At 41.8% G+C, this 19900-nt stretch overlaps 1 protein-coding gene across 3 annotated transcripts in view; it reads left to right on the top strand.

The window, feature by feature from the left end:
- Window positions 1–19900, top strand: part of KLHL3 (kelch like family member 3) — a 118590-nt gene that overhangs the window by 18023 nt on the left and 80667 nt on the right. For 2 of the 3 annotated variants that reach the window (NM_017415.3, NM_001257194.1), the window contains exons 3-4: window positions 8211–8317; window positions 19659–19780. In NM_017415.3, the coding sequence (NP_059111.2) occupies window positions 8211–8317; window positions 19659–19780 (229 nt within the window). Of the gene's footprint in view, window positions 1–8210; window positions 8318–11630; window positions 12076–19658; window positions 19781–19900 lie in introns of those variants that run through there. The other variant, NM_001257195.2, reaches the window with a different exon arrangement.

Below are 19900 nucleotides of genomic sequence, written 5' to 3'. Positions count from 1 at the left end.
CATATTAAACGCTGTGAGAAGTCCTGCACTAAACTTGTCTGACCAAAGGTTTTCCACACATATTTGACTATAGAGCCGCCTTTGGTGGTTGTTGCATATAGACCAAGTGTTTTGTGAAATTTGTTTTGGGAAACACTTTTCTAATACCAGACATAGTCCTTTGCTGAAATTTAAGTGAATAATCTTATTCTCCCTCTTTTTGTTTTTTTTCAAATGGACCACAATCTATATATATTTGACTGGCTAGGAAAATTTTAATTCAGGTTTAGGCATAGATTTTCCTATCATTTTTCTTTTAATTTTTCTTTTGTAAAAGGAATATATTTATTATAGAACATTTAGAATATACAAATGAGCAACAAGTCATCTATAATTTTATTACATAGTGGTAACCATTGTAATACTTTGGACAGTATACCTCTCTTCTTTAGAATATATGTCTCATTGCAAAAGACATTGTGGCACAATAAAAGTCTCTACATTCCTTAGCTTAAATCATTTTAGCAAAATATTTATTTATTTATTTTTATTTTTTTGAGGCAGAGTTTCACTCGTGTGGCCCAGGCCGGAATGCAGTGGTGTGATCTCGGCTCATTGCAACCTCCACCTCCCGGGTTCAAGCAATTCTCCTCCCTCAGCCTCCCAAGTAGTTGGGATTATAGGCACCTGCCACCATGCCCAGCCAAATGTTTATGTTTTTTATAGCTAATGGCGACAAGTCTGTAGCTAAGACCAAGATTACAGTAGCTCAATGTATAGAACTTACAGATTTTGTAACTTTGCATTTTGGCTTTGGTTTTTGTCTATGTTGCTTAAAAGGTTTTGTGGGTTTTGATGGGTGCTGGCCCACCTCCATTCCCATCTGACTGGGAATGTTTAAATTGGCTGTAAGTCTTTTGGCTCTAAGTCCTTGGCCATAGGGGTCTCACCAAGGGACAAGATGGACCTGGGGCAGGCAGGCACACTGCCCTGGCAGAGATAGGACAAAATGAAAGTTTGGCCATCAGTGCTGCCCCTGGCAGATCTTGTCTAAAAGGGTGAGAACGTAAATTAAAAATAAAATTCTAAGCCCCGCAGGGACTGAACAGACCATCTTTTGGCCAAGGGGACCCTTGATTAACTTTGAAAATGGAGTTCTCAGCCATGATGGGAAGGGGGGTTGGTTAGACCCCCTCTCTTGGTAACCGTGACTAAGCTTTCCTCCCTAAGGTTCTAACAAAAGCCAGCCCTTTCAAAAGACCCCACCACTGATATCAACAAATTTTCTGACACTGCCCTTACTTTTTTGCCTAATAAGAGACCACTGACCACAGGAGTGGTTCTGGCTAGTCTTTTTTGAGATTGCGCAGTAAGGGGTTTCATGGCCTCTGCTTCACTTTTTAATGGCAGAGGACTGAAAACTCCGCCCTCTGATCACCTCAGTTTTTGAACTTGGAGAGCAAGAACCTCAATTGCACATGTGCATGTTTCTCCTTTCATAAATATTCATGGCTCCTTCTATAGCTTATTGAATATGTGTATTTGGCCGCCTTGCTCAGCATAAATTCCTGTTTCCTTTGCCCCTCTCTCAAAGTATCTTGTTTCTGGCTTCTGGCTGGAGGCTGTGCTTCCCAGCCTGTCAGAATAGCCACCCTGCAGGCTGTAACCTTTATAAGAAATAAAGTTTCCTCTTGTTTTAAACAAACAAATGAACAAACAAACAAACAAACAAACAAACAAACATATGCCTTAGTTGGGCATTGGAGTTTGTGACTGTAATCCCAGCTTTGCAGGAGGATCACTTGAGCCCAGAAATCTGAGGCCAGCCTGGGCAACATAGTGAGACCCATCTCATTAAAAAAAAAAAAAGAAATTTACGTCTCAACCTAACTTAACACTATATTGAACACATTTTTCTATGTCATTAACTGTTCTACAATATTAAGTGGATCAATGATATTCTATTTTTGAGTTATTTTTTAAAGACAGTTCCCTGTTGTTGGATGTCTAGGTTTTCCCAGTTCCTCATATAAATAACCCCTGCTATGGTTATCTTTGTAGCCATATAACATAGTGATTACAAACATAGACTCTGACTTCAAATCTTGGCTCTAGTACTTATTGTGTGACCCTAGACAAGTTAATTAATCTCTCTGATCTCACTTTTGTCAACCATAAAATGAGGCTAATAAGAGTACCAGTCTTGCTGGCTTGTTAAGAAGATTAATGAATGAAGTGCTTAAAACAGTGACAACACATATATTACTGTTGTTGAATACTTGTACACATTCATGATTATTTGTATAGAAGAGAAGTAGAATTGCTGATTTGAACAGCCTGTAGAATAATAATAATAACTATGCCTTAGATATTGTTGTGAGATCCTGGCACATAATGAATATTCTGTAAGCATTAGCTATGATGATGATGATGATGATGATGTGCTAAGCACTGTGCTAGGTTCAGGAACATGGCAGGAGATAAGAGGACTAAAATCTTGCCCTTAGTGAAGCTTGTATTCGCATGTTATTGAAAGGCTACATCAAATTCCAAGGTATTTAAATGGCTAACTTATGAAAAATAGAGTGGAAAGGGGAGGCAGGGAGGAAGGGGGTCTGCATTGATACTTTATTGATCTGAGTGAGTTTAATGGGAACTAGAGAGAGGCTGGGTATACTTATGGAGGCCTGGGCTAAAGCATCTTGCCATCCAGGGGTTAAGCTAATGAAATGTTACATGATATTCCAGGGATTTGGGATTATTTCTTGCATTGCTTTCACATTCCCTTCCCTTAATTTTAAGCTATTTTAGTTCAAGCACACATGTTCTTTGCAATTTATGAATCACACAATTCATGAGTTTCCTATTCTTTTTACCTCCATGGTAGAGAATGGCTGTTGGCATAGTCACTGCCAAGCCTTCTTCCTCCTTTTGCACTTTGTTGCTCTGCTGTGGCCAGACCACAGCTGCTGCTTCTGGATGGCAGAGCTCTAGTGACTCTTACTCCTGACTTACCATCCAGCAAGCAAATGGGGCTGTGGGCCTTCTTAGAATAGCACATCCTAACCAGGCCTGAAAAGAAGGGGCAGAGAGAATGGAACAACCAATGAGTAGAATCCACATGCAGTCTTTCTTTTCTCATTTTGACAATTTTAATCTCCCATTTCACCATTGCAAACAGTTCTCTGCTCTCATCTTTTTTTTTGATGGTCTGTCACTATGCTTTTATTATTGTTATGAACCATCTTAGCATATTGCTTTCTGTTTTTCTTTTGGTAACAGTTTTATCAAGACATAATTCAGATGCCATACAATTTACCCGTTTAAAGTTACAATTTAATGGCTTTTAGTTTATTCACAGAGTTGTGCAACCACAATCTTAGAATATTTTCATCACCCTAAATAGAAACGCTGTATTCTTTAGCAGTCATCCCCTCCATAGTTTACCCCATCCTTACCACCACTCCCCATCAGCCCTAGGCAACCACTAGTCTACTTTATGTCTCTATAGATTTGCCTGTTTTAAAATCATACAATAGGTAGCCTTTTGTATCTGGCTTCTTTCATTTAGCATAATGCATTTAAGGTTCATTCATGTTGTAGCATGTCTCAGTACACCATTCCTTTTTATTGCAGAATAATATTTCATTGTATAGATATACCACATTTGACTTCTGGCTATTATAAATAATGTTGCTATGAACATTCATGTACAAGTTTTTGTGTGGATGTATGTTTTTATTTCTCTTAGGTATATGTCTGGGAGTGGGATTATTGGGTCATATGGCAACTTTAATCTTTGGAGGAACTGCCAAACTGTTTTCAGAGCAGCTGCCACCATTTTACATTTCCATCAACAGCAAAGCTTCTACTTTCTCCACATCTTCTCTAACACTTCTTATTGTTTGTGCTTTTGATTATAGCCATTCTAGTGAGTGTAAGGTGGTATCTTGTTGTGGTTTTGATTTGCATTTCTCTGATTGTTAATGATGTCGAGCATCTTTTCATGAGCTCTTTGGCTATTTCTATATCTTGTTTGGAGAAATATGTGGGGTTGGGGGAGGGGGGAGGGATAGCATTAGGAGATATACCTAATGCTAAATGACGAGTTAATGGGTGCAGCACACCAACATGGCACATGTGTACATATGTAACAAACCTGCACGTTGTGCACATGTACCCTAAAACTTAATGTATAATAATAAAAAAAATCTCTTGTTCATTTTTAATTAGGTTATTTTTCTGTTTATTATTGAGTTGTAACAGTTTGAGTTCTTCACATATTCTAGATACAAGCTCATTATCAGGTAGATGATTTGCAAAAAATTATTTCTCATTCTATGGATTGTCTTTTCATTATCCTGATGGCATCCTTTGAAGCACAAATGTTTTAAATTTTGATAACTAATTTATCATTGTTTCTTTTATTGTTTGTGCTTTTGGTGTCATATCTAAGAAACCATTGCCTTATTTGGAGTCATGAAGATTTACCCCTATGTTTTCTTCTAAGAGTTTTTATAGTTTTAGCTCTTGCTTTTAGATCTTTGAGCCATTTTAAGTAAATTTTTGTATATGGTGTGAGGTAGGGATCCAACTTCATTATTTTGCATATGGATATCCAGTTGTCCCAGCACCATTTGTTGAAAAGACTGTTTTTTTCCCAGTTGAATGATCTTGCTACCTTGTCAAAAATCAATTGAACATACAAAGGTTTATTTCTGGACTCTCAATTTTATTTTATTGATCTATATAGCTATCCTTATACTAGTACCACACTGTCATATTTTTTGAGATAGGGTTTCATTATGTTGTCCAGGCTGGTCGTGAACTCCTGGGCTCAAGCAATCCTCCTGCTGCAGCCTCCTGAGCATCTAGGATTATAGGCATGTACTGCTGCACCCAGCTACACACTTTTTTTTTTTTTTTTTTTTTTTGCTGGTTATTCCTCCCCTCAACCTCTTAACCATCTCCCATGTCTGAATTCCAGGACCATGTAACCACTTGCCTGCTTGGTAACCTTACTTATGTGTCCAGTGGGCAGCTCAAACTTAACATGTTCAAAACTTAACCTCTAATCTTAAATGAAATATTATTTGGAAAAAAGAAGATATGGAGGAAAAGTGAAGCAGACAATTGAAAAAAAACCATTTTTTTAAAATTTTTTTTCAAAATATGAAAAGTTAACATTTGCTAAATATTTACTATTAGCACTATGCATTATCTGATTTACAGCACATGTCAATTCTGTGACACTCTGGGGACGTTGTGTACTTGTCTACACTAGAGAGTGGTGGGACAGAGGTTTGAGAGGCTTGAACTCAGGTGAGTTTGATTTGAGAGCCTGAGCTCCTTCCTAACAGCTACATTGTACTTTTCCACAAATGGCAAAGTGTCTAGTCCTACTTTTCTCCCCTCAAGATGGAGTAGTGTGATAGCTCGGAAAAAAGGATCCCATAGGATCCCAGGTAAATTGAATAGGAGTGCTTGTGAGCCATGCAGTGCTTTAGAGCTACTACTTCCCTCTTCCATGTAGCATGGATACATAAAGATGTCTCCAGTGTGCAGACAGGCTTCCCCACCCCCAGGGAAAGCCCATCTTAACTATTTGGCAAGTTTCTTTTGGCCAATTTCCCAGGTTAGTGTTTCTCTGGCCTTAAGATACACTTTCCACCCATCAGAACTGCTGTCATTTATTTGCTTAACTGGATTCTCCATCTTTATTCTTCATTCCCTTGTGTTTCTTTCCCATTTGTTCAAAAATTGTCAGGCTCCCTGGGTTTGTGCAAGATAACACACCCTGACATTTGTTTGTTCAGCTCCTAGCACTGAACATTTGTTCAGCATTTCTGACTCTTCTCTGCCAACAATTTTCTTATTAGTTACCAAAAAATATAACCGGTTACTCTTTTTTTTTTTTTTTTTTTTTTTTTTGACAGAATCTTGCTCTGTCACCCAGGCTGGAGTGTAGTGGCATGATCTTGGCCCACAGCAACCTCTGCCTCCTGGGTTTCAAGCGATTCTCATGCCTCAGCCTCCCTAGTAGCTGGGATTACAGGCATCTGCCACCACACCGGGCTTTTTTTTTTTTGTATTTTTAGTAGAGAAGGGGTCTCACCATGTTGGCAAGGCTGGTCTCAAACTCCTGGCCTGAAGTGATCTGCCTTCCTCAGCCTCCCAAAGTGTGGTTATTCTTAAATAGCAGTGATAACTCAATTTTCTTCCTAAATGTAAGTAAAAATGTCCAAGATGAGTCTATTCATGTTGGAAATACAATTTTAGAATAAAATTTAATGAGACTAAAGGCCATTTTCAGATGGCACCTGTAATCCCATTTGGCCCCCATGATATATGTCCCAAAGGCAGCTAAAACAGGTGAGAAAAATGGGGTGAGCTTATTTGCCCATGGTCTCATAGCCAGTTAGGGGAAGAGCCAGTTCTGTTCCTGGTTGCACTGGTTTATCCTGATACAGTTGGTGATTAAGGTCTGCTGTCCACTGCAGGGTAAGGTCTCAATCCCCCGGTTTTGCCTCTTGCTGTCCAAAGGTCTCACCCTTCCAGGAAGCCTCCTTAACGATACTTTATTCTACTTCCTGTCCACTTCTCCCTGTTGGGGCTAACCTGTCTTCTGTCTTTTCTCATTCTGAATGTCAGCCAATCATGAGGCATTGTGATACCATGGAAAAGTCACTGTGTCTGGAGTAAGGAGAACTGGATTCAAGACTTAGACTTCTGTGGCTTTGGGCATCTTTTCACCTCTCTGAGTTTCATAGACCAGATGATCTCTAGTAGCATTTGCAGCTCCAGCCTTTTCAGGCCTTATGATTCTATTTCTCTGATATGTGAACCTAAACAAATATCTTAGTAGTTGACAGTGACTTAGTGTGCTACACCAGAGATAGCAAATATGTAGCTTTTCTTCCATCCGTCAACCATGGCAGACTCATTAATTGGCCTCAACATTCTCACACAGAATCTAGTCATGACCTCAGCCTTCTCAAACCAGGGTAGTGTGCCAAGTAACCACTACCATTGGCTCACAGTTGAAGTGTGTTTGTCCTCCTTGTCTTTCCTACTCTCTCTAGTGCTTTAATCTCAAGGAGGGATGAGTGGTGATCAGGATACCAATGAAGAGCATGGGTTCTGGGCTTCAGCTGCCTTCATTTAAATCCTGTTTCCACTGTTCCTTTTCTGTGTGACCTTGGGAAAATTACTTCTCTGGACCTCAGTTTCTTCATTTTCAATATAGGCATAACAATTAGCCCTATCTCATGGGGTGGTAGAGAGGATGAAGTAATATGTGTAAAAAAGTGCTTAGAACAGTGCCTGGCACATATAACTCAATAAATATTAACTATTATATTGATAACAGGCATGATAAGAGCTTAGAAGAATGATGAAGGAAAAATTCTTGGGTTGATGGGAGCTTGTGGCACCCTATCAATCTCTAAAGTAGTCAGATCCCTATTCTGTCTATGAATGTGGATTGATCACATTTCATTCATTAATTTATTTATTCAGTAAAAATTTAGGGTCTACTATGTGCTAGGTATGCAGCCAGGTGTCTAGGATACAACATTAAATAAGACAAGTCCCTTTCTGAGTTGGGGTGACAAACAGAAAGGTAATTACAGTATTTTTAATAATTACAGTGATTGGAGTTTGCACAGGGTCTTTAGGGAGCACTGTGTTTGCAGGCAGAGTCTTCTTGTTGAAAGCGTTAAATCTGGGTCGAAAGAGAAATACCTAAGGCCGGCTTGCCTCTTACTGGTGTTGCATATACAGTGGGTCCCTTGGGGGAATTGTTAGTACTTGGTCTTGCTGGTGACACACTTCACTGGTATGCTCATGTTCCTCAGCATTCATTCAGTCACTCGAATGACAGCCCCAAGCTTTTGCCACTGTTCCCTGAGCCGCAAAACCCCTACTTCTCAATCTGAACTGATAGAATTGGGGAACAGAGAGGTGAAGACAAATGAAGCAGCCTGGAATTTACAGCCACAGAGTAGTTGGATCTCTCCATGGACCTTAGGAAAGCATGAATGTCAGGTTTATCAGGGACTTGGAAAAGTCAATGAATCCACCCCCCTCCCTAACTCAAGATAGAGCAAGTCCCTGTGACAGCTTTGTATAGTGATAGTGTGAAATCTGGGTGGGAGAAAAAAATACCCTTGTAAGATGAGGGTAGGTGTCCTTGCTGCAACCCATCCTGTCCTCTCACTGGTGTCTTACAGTAAACAGCTGTTGTGTGACGTGATGATTGTGGCAGAAGATGTCGAGATAGAAGCCCACCGTGTGGTCCTGGCAGCCTGCAGCCCCTACTTCTGTGCGATGTTCACAGGTATGGTGAGTGGCCACCATTAACCCATGGTTATGGGGCTGCAGCCCCACTGGGAGAATGTTGGGGGTGGTGACATGAGGGGAGGGAGGAAAGAGAAAGCCATTAGCCCACTATGAGGGGCTTCTCTACGCCAGATAGTGTGCTTTGTGCCATGGAGGACTTGATGGAACCAGGTCCAGGCCAGTTGGGCATGTAGCCCTTGTCCACCATGAGGAAAAAAGGTAGACTCACATAGCCCATTAGTTCTCAAAACTCACCCTGCACCATAATCATGTGGGGGAGCTTGTTAACAATGTAGACTCCTGGGCACATGGCCAGGTCTTCTGATCTCTCACTTTGCAGATGGAGGACACTGAGGCTGAGACAAGGGAAGAGACCTGCCCAAGGTCACAGTGAATGAGTGGGACTTGGCTTCCTGGCACCTGGCCCAGTGCTTTACTAGCTGGCCTACCTATTGTCCTTCCCTAGACCTTCATTCCAGACAGGGGCCCTGGACCTCCGCTAGTCTTTACAGGAGTGGAGGAGATTTGGAAAAATGATGGTGGGTTTTGAGGGGGATGAGAAATAGGTATAATCAATATCTGGCATTCAGTTTCAGCACCTTTGCCAACTTTCCAGGGTCCCTGTTTACTGGGCATGCCCAATAGTCTTGTCCAAATATTTCCCATCTGTTAGTTCTGAGATTGAATTACCTGAAACCCACAGGCTGAGCTTCCTGTCTGTAGTTTCTCTCAGCACTTCCCCTGAACCAGGTACTTTCAGTGCTCTATAAATCACTGCCGACAGAAGGAGGCCATCTGGGCTTGGTGAGACCTCCAGACTGGGTCAGGTGTCCCTTCTACATGCTTTCCAAGTGCTTGTGCCTGCTCTGAGTATGGCGACTGTCACCCTGCATTCTTGTCTGTTTCCTGGAATCTATAATGCCCATGCCCTGTATCTCATGTAACTGACTGCTTTTTATCCTGCAAATGTCTCCTCAGGCAGGCCCCCTCTCACCACTCTGGCCATAGTTCCACACCAGGCCTCTCTCTATCCTATAACTTGACTTCATCTTTTCATAACATTTATCACCATCTGAAAATCGTCTTGGTTTGTTGTTATGTGTTTTTTACCTGTCTCTCCTCACTAGAATATAAGCCCCATGAGGACAGGGACCTTGGTGGGCTTGTTTGTTACCATATACTGAGCACCTGGTACATGGTAGGACACAAATATTTTTTAAATGAGTGAGTGAAGTATCTCCTGCACCTGACTGTGAGCTTTGGGCACTTGGGGAACATGTCTTGTTGCTGTGGAATCCTCCATGCCCACCACAGGAGGCGGTGAATAAGTGAATGTCTGAAGAATGAACACAAGCTTGCTAAGGAGGGGTGAGTGCAGGCACATTTTTGCTGAATGGGCTGTGACCCTTTTCCTAATATGGTACACAGCTGGGCAAGACTGGTTTTGTTGGGAGAGACTTGGCACTTGTGCACTGAGAGTTTGTCACATGTGTGTCCCCCTTGGCTTGTCATGTGAAGGAACTGGTCTCAACTTGGAGTGGTGCCTCTGCTAAGTGGACCAGGCTACTCTTACCTTACTTTCAGCCTTGGGCCAGGAATTTCACACTGTAGCCCAGAAAACTAGCTAAGTTCAGTATCTGGAAATTTTGAGCTGCATTCCCTTTTGAGTTGTCCTAAACCCTAGCTGCAAGGCCTTTATTTCCTTTTTTCCCCCTTTCCTTCATCAATCTCTATTTTAAAATAGTTCATCTTGTCTGTAATAGTTATTTAGCTGTAACTTCAATAAATAGCTCTGCCAGTTATTCTTTGTGTGTGGAGTTTGGAAAGTTCAGTGTTGAGAGAGGAATCTGTTTGGAATTGCAATGAATTGTCATGCTGGCTCCACTTTTTGTTAACGAACTTGCCTCTGAAGTAGCGGAAGTGTCATAGCAAAACCAAAGTGATTTTACAAATTGGAAGAAAAAGTGCTTCTGGGGCATTCTTAGATTCTAGGAATGGAAGGGACGGGAGAATCAAGAGAAGAAAGCAGTGTAATGCAATGCCCAGCCCAAGCCTTCCATTAAACCTGGTTACCATCCATCCTTCCACCCATCCATTCACCCGTCCATCCAAATACTGTTCACATGTGTTTATTACAGGTAAAAACCAGAAACTGTGGGCAAGCAAAAAGTAAAAAATTACGTGTACTACAACATCTAGGTAAGAGTATGGTTTATATCTTTTTAGATTTTATATTTATAAATGTATACATATACAAAATATATATTTTAACATAAGTTCATTTAATGTGTACAGTTGAATAGTCTTTTTTTTTTGAGACAGAGTCTCGCCCTTTTGCTCAGGCTGGAGTATAGTGGTGCAGCCTCAACTCACTGCCACCTTCGCCTCCTGGGTTCAAGTGATTCTTGTGCCTCAGCCTCCTGAGTAGCTGGGACTACAGGTGTGTGCCACCATGCCTGGCTAATTTTTGTATTTTTAGTAGAGAGTGGGTTTTGCCATGTTGGCAAGGCAATCTTGAACTCCTGGCCTCAAGTGATCCACCTGCTTCGGCTCCCAAAGTGTTGGGATTACAGGCATGAGCCACTGCTCCCAGCCTAAATAGCCTTTTTTGATGTATGTATTTTTTTTTAAATTGCTATTCATCTTCCTGGAATGTTCTCTCCTCCATCTTTTGGCCTGTCTGACTCCCGTTCATCCTTCATTACTGCTTAAGCATCACTTCCTCAGGAAGGCCTTTTATGACCTCTTTGGCTTAGGTTAAATTCCTTTGCTACTTACTCCCATGGTACTTTATACTTCTCTTTAGTATTACTACTCATCTTATTACTTCCTCAATGTTTGATTTCCCTGGCCAATCATACTCTTTATAAGGGTAAGAACTATACCTTTAAAATTCACCACCATGTCCCTGCTGCCTAGCATGGTCTTCCATATAGCAGGTGATCAATAAAAATTTGTTTAATTGAGCTTAGCAATATATAATGAATATCTTTCCATGTCAATGAAATTGCAGTTACAACCTAATTTTAATGCCTTCATAAGATTCCATTATATATACTCTAATTGAAAATTCATTTCCTTCGTTGGAAATTATAGTTTTATGTAATATTTTGTTATTATAAATAATGATATAATGGGCATCCTTGCATCTTAATCTTTATGTACATTCCTGATTATTTTACTAGAATAGATTCCTAGAATAAGAAGTACTCGATTAAAAGGTATGCACACTTTGAAGACTTTTGAGACATGTGCCGCATTGATCTAAAGAACAGTTGTACCAGCTTATGCTCCCATCAGCAAGATATCTAAGATTTATATATTTTTAAGGCCCATTGGCTTTGCCTAAACCTTGGTAAACAGATACTAAAAATCTCCAGTAACATTGCAAAATTTTGTTCTAATTATCAGGTTCAGCTTCAAAACGTGTAAAATGCATTGTGTACTGAGAGTAAGAGGCTGACTCTCGTTAGATCCATTTCTATCAGTGTGTTTAAAGCCAAAAGGAAAGTAAAATACACATGGCTTTCTTCTGACTTGAGTTGTGTGATTATGGTCTTTTACTCAAGCTTAAATGTTTTTATTTTTTTGTCTTCCGAGTTCATGTTGCCCAAATGTCCTGAGGTGGTTCCAAATACCAATCCCACACTTCTTGACCATTGTCCTGTGGACAATAACTTGGAATAAATGTGAAACTGAAGTCTGAGTGCCCATCAGAGAGTGTCCCAATCCAACCAGTCTATAAGAAGATCTGGGGTGAGCAGTCAACCTATTTGCCCTTTACTGCTTTCAGCATAACTTGAGTGGGGAGGCCAGTAGTGCTGTGTTCTGCCCATCTTTTTCCTATAAAGATGAAATGTCTAGGACTCATTCCCCATCCTCCCCATCCAGCACCTCCATCCCAAGGGAAGCAATTTTCCCAAAATCTCCTCATCAGTGTTTCTCTCTTTATCATGCCCTTTACCATGGCTTCTGTATACTGTAGTATTTGTACTCCATATGGGTCCCTGCCTACATGTCATCCAGATACAGCCCCTATTTTATGGTGTTAAAGGAACTGAGGTCTACAGAATATATGGGCTCAGGGTCTTATGCCCATAATCATGGCTAAAAGACACTTGGGCTTCCATCCCAAATGAAGCCCTGGGAGTGATCTGTCCCACTCATCTGGTCATATTGTACTGTATGTAGTGGCTGATTTAGATTGGTTTTTGTTTTTTAAAGAGGAGTTACTGTCCAGTTTTTATTAGATTTAGGCTGATGTTTGGTATCTTTGAATATATGGTAAGTAGAAATAGAGAGGAGAGTTCAGGAATGTGCTGGGGGTGAGAGACAAGGGGCTTAGACTTGGAGTAGGCAGGAATCATCCACAAGGCAGAACCATGAGGGCCTGGCTGTCTTATTCACTTCCCAGGCATGAAGTTCCTTCCACAGAACTGTTGTTTCACCCTTGCTGCAAGCCAGACTCTACCAGGCCCTGGCCTGTGGCTGTGTCTGTGTTCTAGTGTTTGTGTGGTATATTGATGCCTTTGAAGAGCTCTGCATAACATGCAGCTCAGCAAAACTGAATACAAGGCAATGGACAATGAGAGAAGGAGAACTAGGGAATAGAATTCTTTTCTTAGACAAAGTGGGCCTTCAGGGAGGTTGCAGAGTAATAGTGGTAGTAGATAGGGTCTGGTTTCTGAGAGTTTTGCCCCTGAGGAGTCAGGGATTAGGTAGAATAGTTCAGAGAAAAAGGGATGGCGGTGTCAGAGGCTGCCTGGGATGAAGGAGCAATGGCTTCACCTTCCACGTGGCTATCTTCTAGAGTTAGTCACTTTTGGGCTAAGTGACAGTGACATAGGGCTTCTTCTTCCTGTCCCTATCATACCACAATAAAGTCAGGCATCTTTTTCTGGCTCAAGAGACCCAGATACCCAGATTTGAAGGTGAGGGAGCCAGTAGTCCTGTCTAATAATGTTACCCTTGATGCAGAAATGGCAAGTTTCTTGAGCAGGAATTTGGCTTGTGGTTCAACAGAGGACTGTGTGGTGCTCAGGAATAGAGACTGCTATTCACTTCCAGTGGTTTCTCCATTAAGGTGCAACTGGTTTGACCAAGATGGTCTGAGGTAGACTTGTTTGGGTTTAGAGTAGCTCAGCCTTAAAATTGAGACCACCATTGGAGATAAACTATTGGTAAGGAATATTTTATGAATGTTCATAGAAGAGGTTTGGAGTTGGTGATGTGGGGGCCTCTTTACTAAGGATTAAACACAAGTGTGGTAATGCCGCCTTGCACTGGGAGATGGTGTGGTATCTTGGAAAGGGCTTTGGAGTAATAATGACCTGTATTCCAATCTTTTTTTTTTTTTGAGACGGAGTCTTGCTCTGTCGCCCAGGCCGGACTGCGGACTGCAGTGGCGCAATCTCGGCTCACTGCAAGCTCCGCTTCCCGGGTTCACACCATTCTCCTGCCTCAGCCTCCCCAGTAGCTGGGACTACAGGCGCCCGCCACCGCGCCCGGCTAATTTTTTGTATTTTTAGTAGAGACGGGGTTTCACCTTGTTAGCCAGGATGGTCTCGATCTCCTGACCTCATGATCCACCCGCCTCGGCCTCCCAAAGTGCTGGGATTACAGGCTGTATTCCAATCTTAACTGCATAGGTGCGTGGAGAATTCACTTTCCTCTCTGATCCTCAGCTTTCTTATTGAAGGGACTGGAATAATAACAATAAGTAGGGAACAAATATAGGTAACGGGTATAAGGCACTCAGCACTGTGTAGATAGTTAATAAAGTCTACTTTTATTATTGTAGAGCACGTCATAGTTTTTAAAATTCTTGTGGATGTCGGGGGTGGAGGTGATTAGGGTTGATTTTTTTTTTTTTTGTAGTCACTATGTAATGACACAGAGGCATTTTTTTCCTGACTTTGTGCTTCTCGTGCTTCTAGTTGAGCAGAAAGATATTTCCAGGTGGAGGAGGGATGAGATTCCAGGGAGGGCGGGTGATGAGGCGGTGTCTATCACTGTGGTTCTGCTGGATCCTGCTGTCCCACCTTTCACAATCTCATTGTCTCCTTTGATTCTCACACAACCTTGGGATAAAGGCAGAACAGAGAATGTCCTTATTTCACAGGTGATATAGGGTGACCTGTGCTTCAACAGAGGACTGTGTGGCACTTAGGAATACAGACTGCTGTTCACTCCCAATGTGACATAAGGACCTGTGAACTAAGGACATTCCCTGATCTGCAGTCAAATGGCCCAGACCACTCACCTGCAACAGGGTTGGTCAGGATTCAAGGAGATGGCAGAGTATTTCTTTTTCTCCTGTGAGGTTAATGTCTTTGGCCTTAGTGCTCAGCTCTAGCCAAATGAGTTGGCAGCCCAGATTTTAGGACTTAGATGAGGGTTGGGGGGAAGAAAGTTCCATAACCATCTTAGTGCCCATGAAGAATCATTGCGCAAAGGGTAAGGATTTTCCTTTGTTCTCTCTACCCAGAACATGAGACTAAATTACAGTACTAATTCAAGTTAGGAGCAAGAAGGTATTCTGTGACATAAGGACTCTTGAACACTCCCTTTTCTTGTCTTTAAGGACATATAACTATGTAGGGGTGGTCGGTGGTTTAGCTGTGGTGTTCGTCAGAGAGACCTGCCAACCAATCTATTCCATTTTCATTCTCAAGGCTTTATTTACTTAATAACCTGGAAGATGAGCTAGTGATTTTTCTGGACATCTTGAGTCTTCTGTGATAATGAAAGATTTTCCTTTCCCTCCTCCAGTCCATCCTTCTCCCTCTTGCTCTTCTTTGGCAGTCTTCCACCTAAAAAGGTCTCAGCTGTGCACATAGTGTGCTTGTTAGGATCTAGAATGAAGACTTGGATGCTTTTACCTAATAGGCTTCTGGGATTGCTTGCTCTTCTGGGCCCTCCGTGGTTCTCAGAGGCTGCTAAGTGCAAGGCCCTAATGGTCTACGTATTTAAAGAAGTTCAAGACACAGTCAGGCCAACATCATCTTTTACCTGATATTCTGCAGCAGTCTTCTCATTGGTCAATCTGCCACCTGTTTTGTTTTCCCATTCCCCACCCATTCTCCACACTGTGGCTACAGTGATTTTCCCAATATAAAAATCTGATGTATCCCTTACCTGCTTAAAATCTATCAGGGGCTCCCTGTTGCCCTTAGGATGAAGTCTAAACTCCTTAGCGTGGCCTGTAAGTCCCTCAAATGGTCCAGCTCCTGCTTTCATCTACAGCCTTGTCTCATCATTCTTCCCTAATGTGCTCCAGCCAGACTGAACTTGTTATGGTTCCCAGACAGGTCACACCCTTTGTTACCTCCAGACCTTTGTATATACTATTCTGTCTGTCTGGGATACTCTTCCCTCATTCTCACTTCTCTTCTGAATAACTATGACTCCTCCAGATCAGTGACTCTTAACCATTATGCATCAATCTGATGAAAACAATGGACTCTATCTCTGGAAGAGCAAACCTGGTGCTCTTGTGTGCTCATCATTTTGCATGCAGCTTTAGGGTGCAGGAATCCCTGGCTTAAGAACCTTTAAAGCTACATCCCCTTTTCTAACATTTGACATCTTTTGCAGTTGTTGGTTTTCTTGTCTCTCTCTCCACCAGACTGAGCTCCATGAGGGCAGGGCTGTGACTTGTTAACCACTGTATTCTCTGGGCCTAGCACAGTGCTTGACACATGAGGACACATCTGATATGTGTTTGGTGAATTGAATAAATGAGCAAATATCTGCCCTAGAGAGAATCATGTTCTCTTTGGAGAAACAGGACATGCATGTTAGCAGATGTAAGTGGAAGATGGAAAGGGCTAACAAGATATGCAGTTGACAGACATTCTCTGAAAGTTCAGAGTCTGAGGTGGCTGTCTGGGCCTCTTGGGAAGAGCTAGCAGAAGAGAGCACTTGGGTTGACCACAAACATGGAAGGGCTTACAGGGCTCATCTTCTGTTTTCTGGAAATATTTTCTCAAACTATTAGAGATGAGTGAAGGAGCAAGAGTGACCAAGTCCTTGATGGTTTTCCTCCTCCAGAATTACTGAAGCCCATGGAATTATGAGATGTCAAGAGAACCTCCCTTCTTTTTTTTAAATTTTCTACTCCAATAAATACTTTTTCAATGCTTGTTTTATGCCAAGCACTTTGTTACGTGTTGAGGATAAGCCGCTTGGTTCTTTGCTAGGTATTAAGTACTAACTTGTCCTCAGAATTTGGACCAATGCCTTGAGTTTGGGAATACTTTTATTAAGGTTATTAGTTAGGGTGAGATTTTATTGAGGGATGTATTAGAAATGACACAGGGTCTAGAGTTAGGCCAAAGTTCAAATCTCAGTCCTGCCTCTTAGTATCTATGTGTAAATCCCTCTTGAAATGCCAATTTTGGCCGGGCACGGTGGCTCATGCCTGTAATCCCAGCACTTTGGGAGGCCAAGGAGGACAGATCGTCTGAGGTCGGGAGTTCAAGACCAGCCTGACCAACATGGAGAAACCCCATCTCTACTTAAAAAACAAAACAAAACAAAAAACAAATTAGCCAGGCATGCTGGCGCATGCCTGTAATCTCAGCTACTCGGGAGGCTGAGGTAGGAGAATCACTTGAACACGGGAGGCAGAGGTTGCGGTGAGCTGAGATCATGCCATTGCACTCCAGCCTGGGCAACAAGAGCAAAACTCCATCTCGAAAAAAAAAAAGAAATGCCAGTTTTATAATTTGTAAAATGGAAATAATACTGTCTACCTCCTGGACTTGTTTCAAGGGTTAAATGAAATAATGTGGGTCAGATACACATTAGTGTACCTTAGCAGAAGGTCAGGTATACAGTAGTGACTATTAGTATGACTATTTTTAGGGCCCATTTAAACTAAAGTCTTAGTTTGGTGTAGTCATTTTTGCTGGTTCATAAGAGATAATAAGATTGGATTCTACAAGCTTTCTCAGAAAATAAGTGGTGTCTTTGAGCCCTTAGTTTTTCTTTCACATCATTTTTTTCTTGCTTGTTTAAGTTTTAAGTACTTAATATAGAAAATTAGAAATTTGAGGGTCATGTAAAGGAGCAAGGAGAAGTCTCCTAAAGACCTACTGTCTAGAAAACTGTGTCTTAACCTTTTCTGAATCATAGACGCCTGTAAGAATCTGATAAAAATGACCTGTCATCCCCCTAGAAAAAGTGAACTTTTGCACATATATAAAAATATTTTCTTACAATTCCAGGCGTTTCCATTTATTTACCCCAAAGTTACAAAACCCTAACCTGACTTTCAACCACAAATTCCACAGGCAGAAAACAGTCAGCCCAGGCTCTGATTTACACTGCTGTGAGGGCTTCTGAATCTCTTGGTTCTTACAGTCCGGCTGCTCTATTTTTTAAGTCTTATTTTTTGAGGGCTAACTCCTTAAACAAAGAATTGGCTATCTTTGATTATCTTTTGCAGTGTAATTACCAACTGGACCCTCATCAATGAACTTTTTAATAGCTTAACTTCTGATTTCCTTGTGTATGCATGTTTTTGTTTGTGTGTCTCAATAAACTCAAGAGAGAGATTGTGGATCCTGTCTTATGGGTGGAGGAGTAATATACTGTTTTTCCCTTGTTTCTTTACCTGTTCATTCTGCCCCAGGGCACTGTGCTGAGGCCTTTCACAGGCTTTCACTGGCAGTCAGAGAAGAGAGAACAGGGTGGAGGGTCTCAGGTCCACCTGATCTGGCAGTTAAGGGAGCAGGCGGGGTTTGGAATGTCTCCCCCGCTACTTTTCTCTCCGTTCCAGTCATTCAGCTCTAGAACTGTGTCAGGATGGGACTTTGGATTGGTGGAGGAATCATGTGCAGTCCGTGCAGCTTGGAGGTGGGTGTCTGCAGCCCACATGCTGTACTGTACTTTATTTTCTTGGCTCTGGTGTATGAATTCCACAGAGAGAAAACAACTGCCCAGGCTCTGTTTTCACACTCACATTGAGGCTTCTGGATCTCTTGTTTCTTGCAGTTAGGTTGCCCTTTATTTCAGTCTACAAAGACATGTGTTGCCTGTCTTTCCTGAAATCAGCAGCCCTTGTTGAATGGGCCTGGCTTTCGATAAACCCGTGTGTTGTATATAGAGTGCAGGCTGAAGGCAAGGGGCCTCAGGACCGTGGAAATGTGGTGCTGCTATTGCCGTTATTTACAGCCCTGCCTTCTCTCTTTTTTGGATTATTATCAGGGCCTCCAGCTGTTCTCCCTGCATGTGATCTAGCTTCCACCCTGCATCCAAAATTTCGTTCAAAAATGCCCATCTGTTGATGTCATTTCCCTGTTGAAAACCTCTCAATGGTGCTACACCTGGGATAAAGTCCCAGCTTGACTTACAGGGCTTGTCAAGCCCTGGCCCCATCTACCTCTCCAGCTTCCTTCTTCTCACTGTTACTCCATGTACCAGCCACACCAACCTCTCGCCATTTCACCAAAATTTATTCTTTTGGTACTTTCTTCTCTTTGCACGAATGGATCCCAGATTCAGCTCATCCTTCCTCACCTTTGCTGCCTGTAGAACTCGTCCTCATCCTCTAATACCTCTCTCAAATGTGACCTCTTAATAGGATGCCTGACTGGAGTTCCCAGGAGAGATTTGTTGCTCCCTCCTCTGTGTTCTTGGGATTTAGTATAGCGTAGTGGTTACAAATATGGACTCTAGAGTCAGACTCCCTGGGTTTCAACCCAACTTGGCCTTTCCTAGGTGTGTGACTGTGGGCAAAATGAATTACCTACCCTCCTGTGCTCAGTTTCTTCATCTGTAAAATGGCAATAATATTAATAAACCTCAAGGTTGTTGTGAGGATTAAAAGACTTTAAAGTGCTTAAGTGTGTGGCCATAGTTAGCTCTCAAGAAATGTTACTTATTATTGTTGTTATCACAATACTTTGTGTATAACTGTCTACTAAGCTCTTATCACCTCTGTTTATAAACACTTTTGTATATCTGCCTTACTAGACTTGTGTTCCTTAAGGACAGGTGCATATCTTGTTCACTTTTTCTGGCCTTGTATATGGAAGTTTACAGTAAATGTTGGTTAAATGAGTGATTGCACACAGATTTGCCTTCACAATGGAAGTGGGCAATAGATAGAGTAAGGAATGCTTAAGGCTGGGTTTGTAGGTGATCACAGACCCAAAGCTGATGTGACCTTGATGTTACCTGGTTTATCCTCTTCTGTGCCTGAATCCCTTCTGCTGCCTCCTGGAGCCCAGGAAGTGCTTTTATGTTTCCAAGACAGGGCAGGAGACCATCTGGAAGGTAAACATATCCCAGGTACCACATTTATGTCATTTTGTTTTTGTTGTAAACTCTAGGTGACATGTCTGAGAGTAAAGCCAAAAAGATAGAAATCAAGGACGTGGATGGGCAGACGCTGAGTAAGCTGATTGACTACATCTATACTGCTGAAATCGAGGTGACTGAAGAGAATGTCCAGGTAAACTCAGGCTCACTAATAGCTCAGTGTATTGCACACTCAGGACCCACCATTTTACAGCGTTATTTTATTTAACCCTCACAACAATTCAGTTGGTTACTGAAGAGGAAACTAAAGCTC

This window comes from Homo sapiens, chromosome 5 (assembly GCF_000001405.40).
Source record: "Homo sapiens chromosome 5, GRCh38.p14 Primary Assembly".
Taxonomy (NCBI): Eukaryota; Metazoa; Chordata; class Mammalia; order Primates; family Hominidae; genus Homo; species Homo sapiens.
This window is presented reverse-complemented; position numbering and strand designations above follow the sequence as displayed.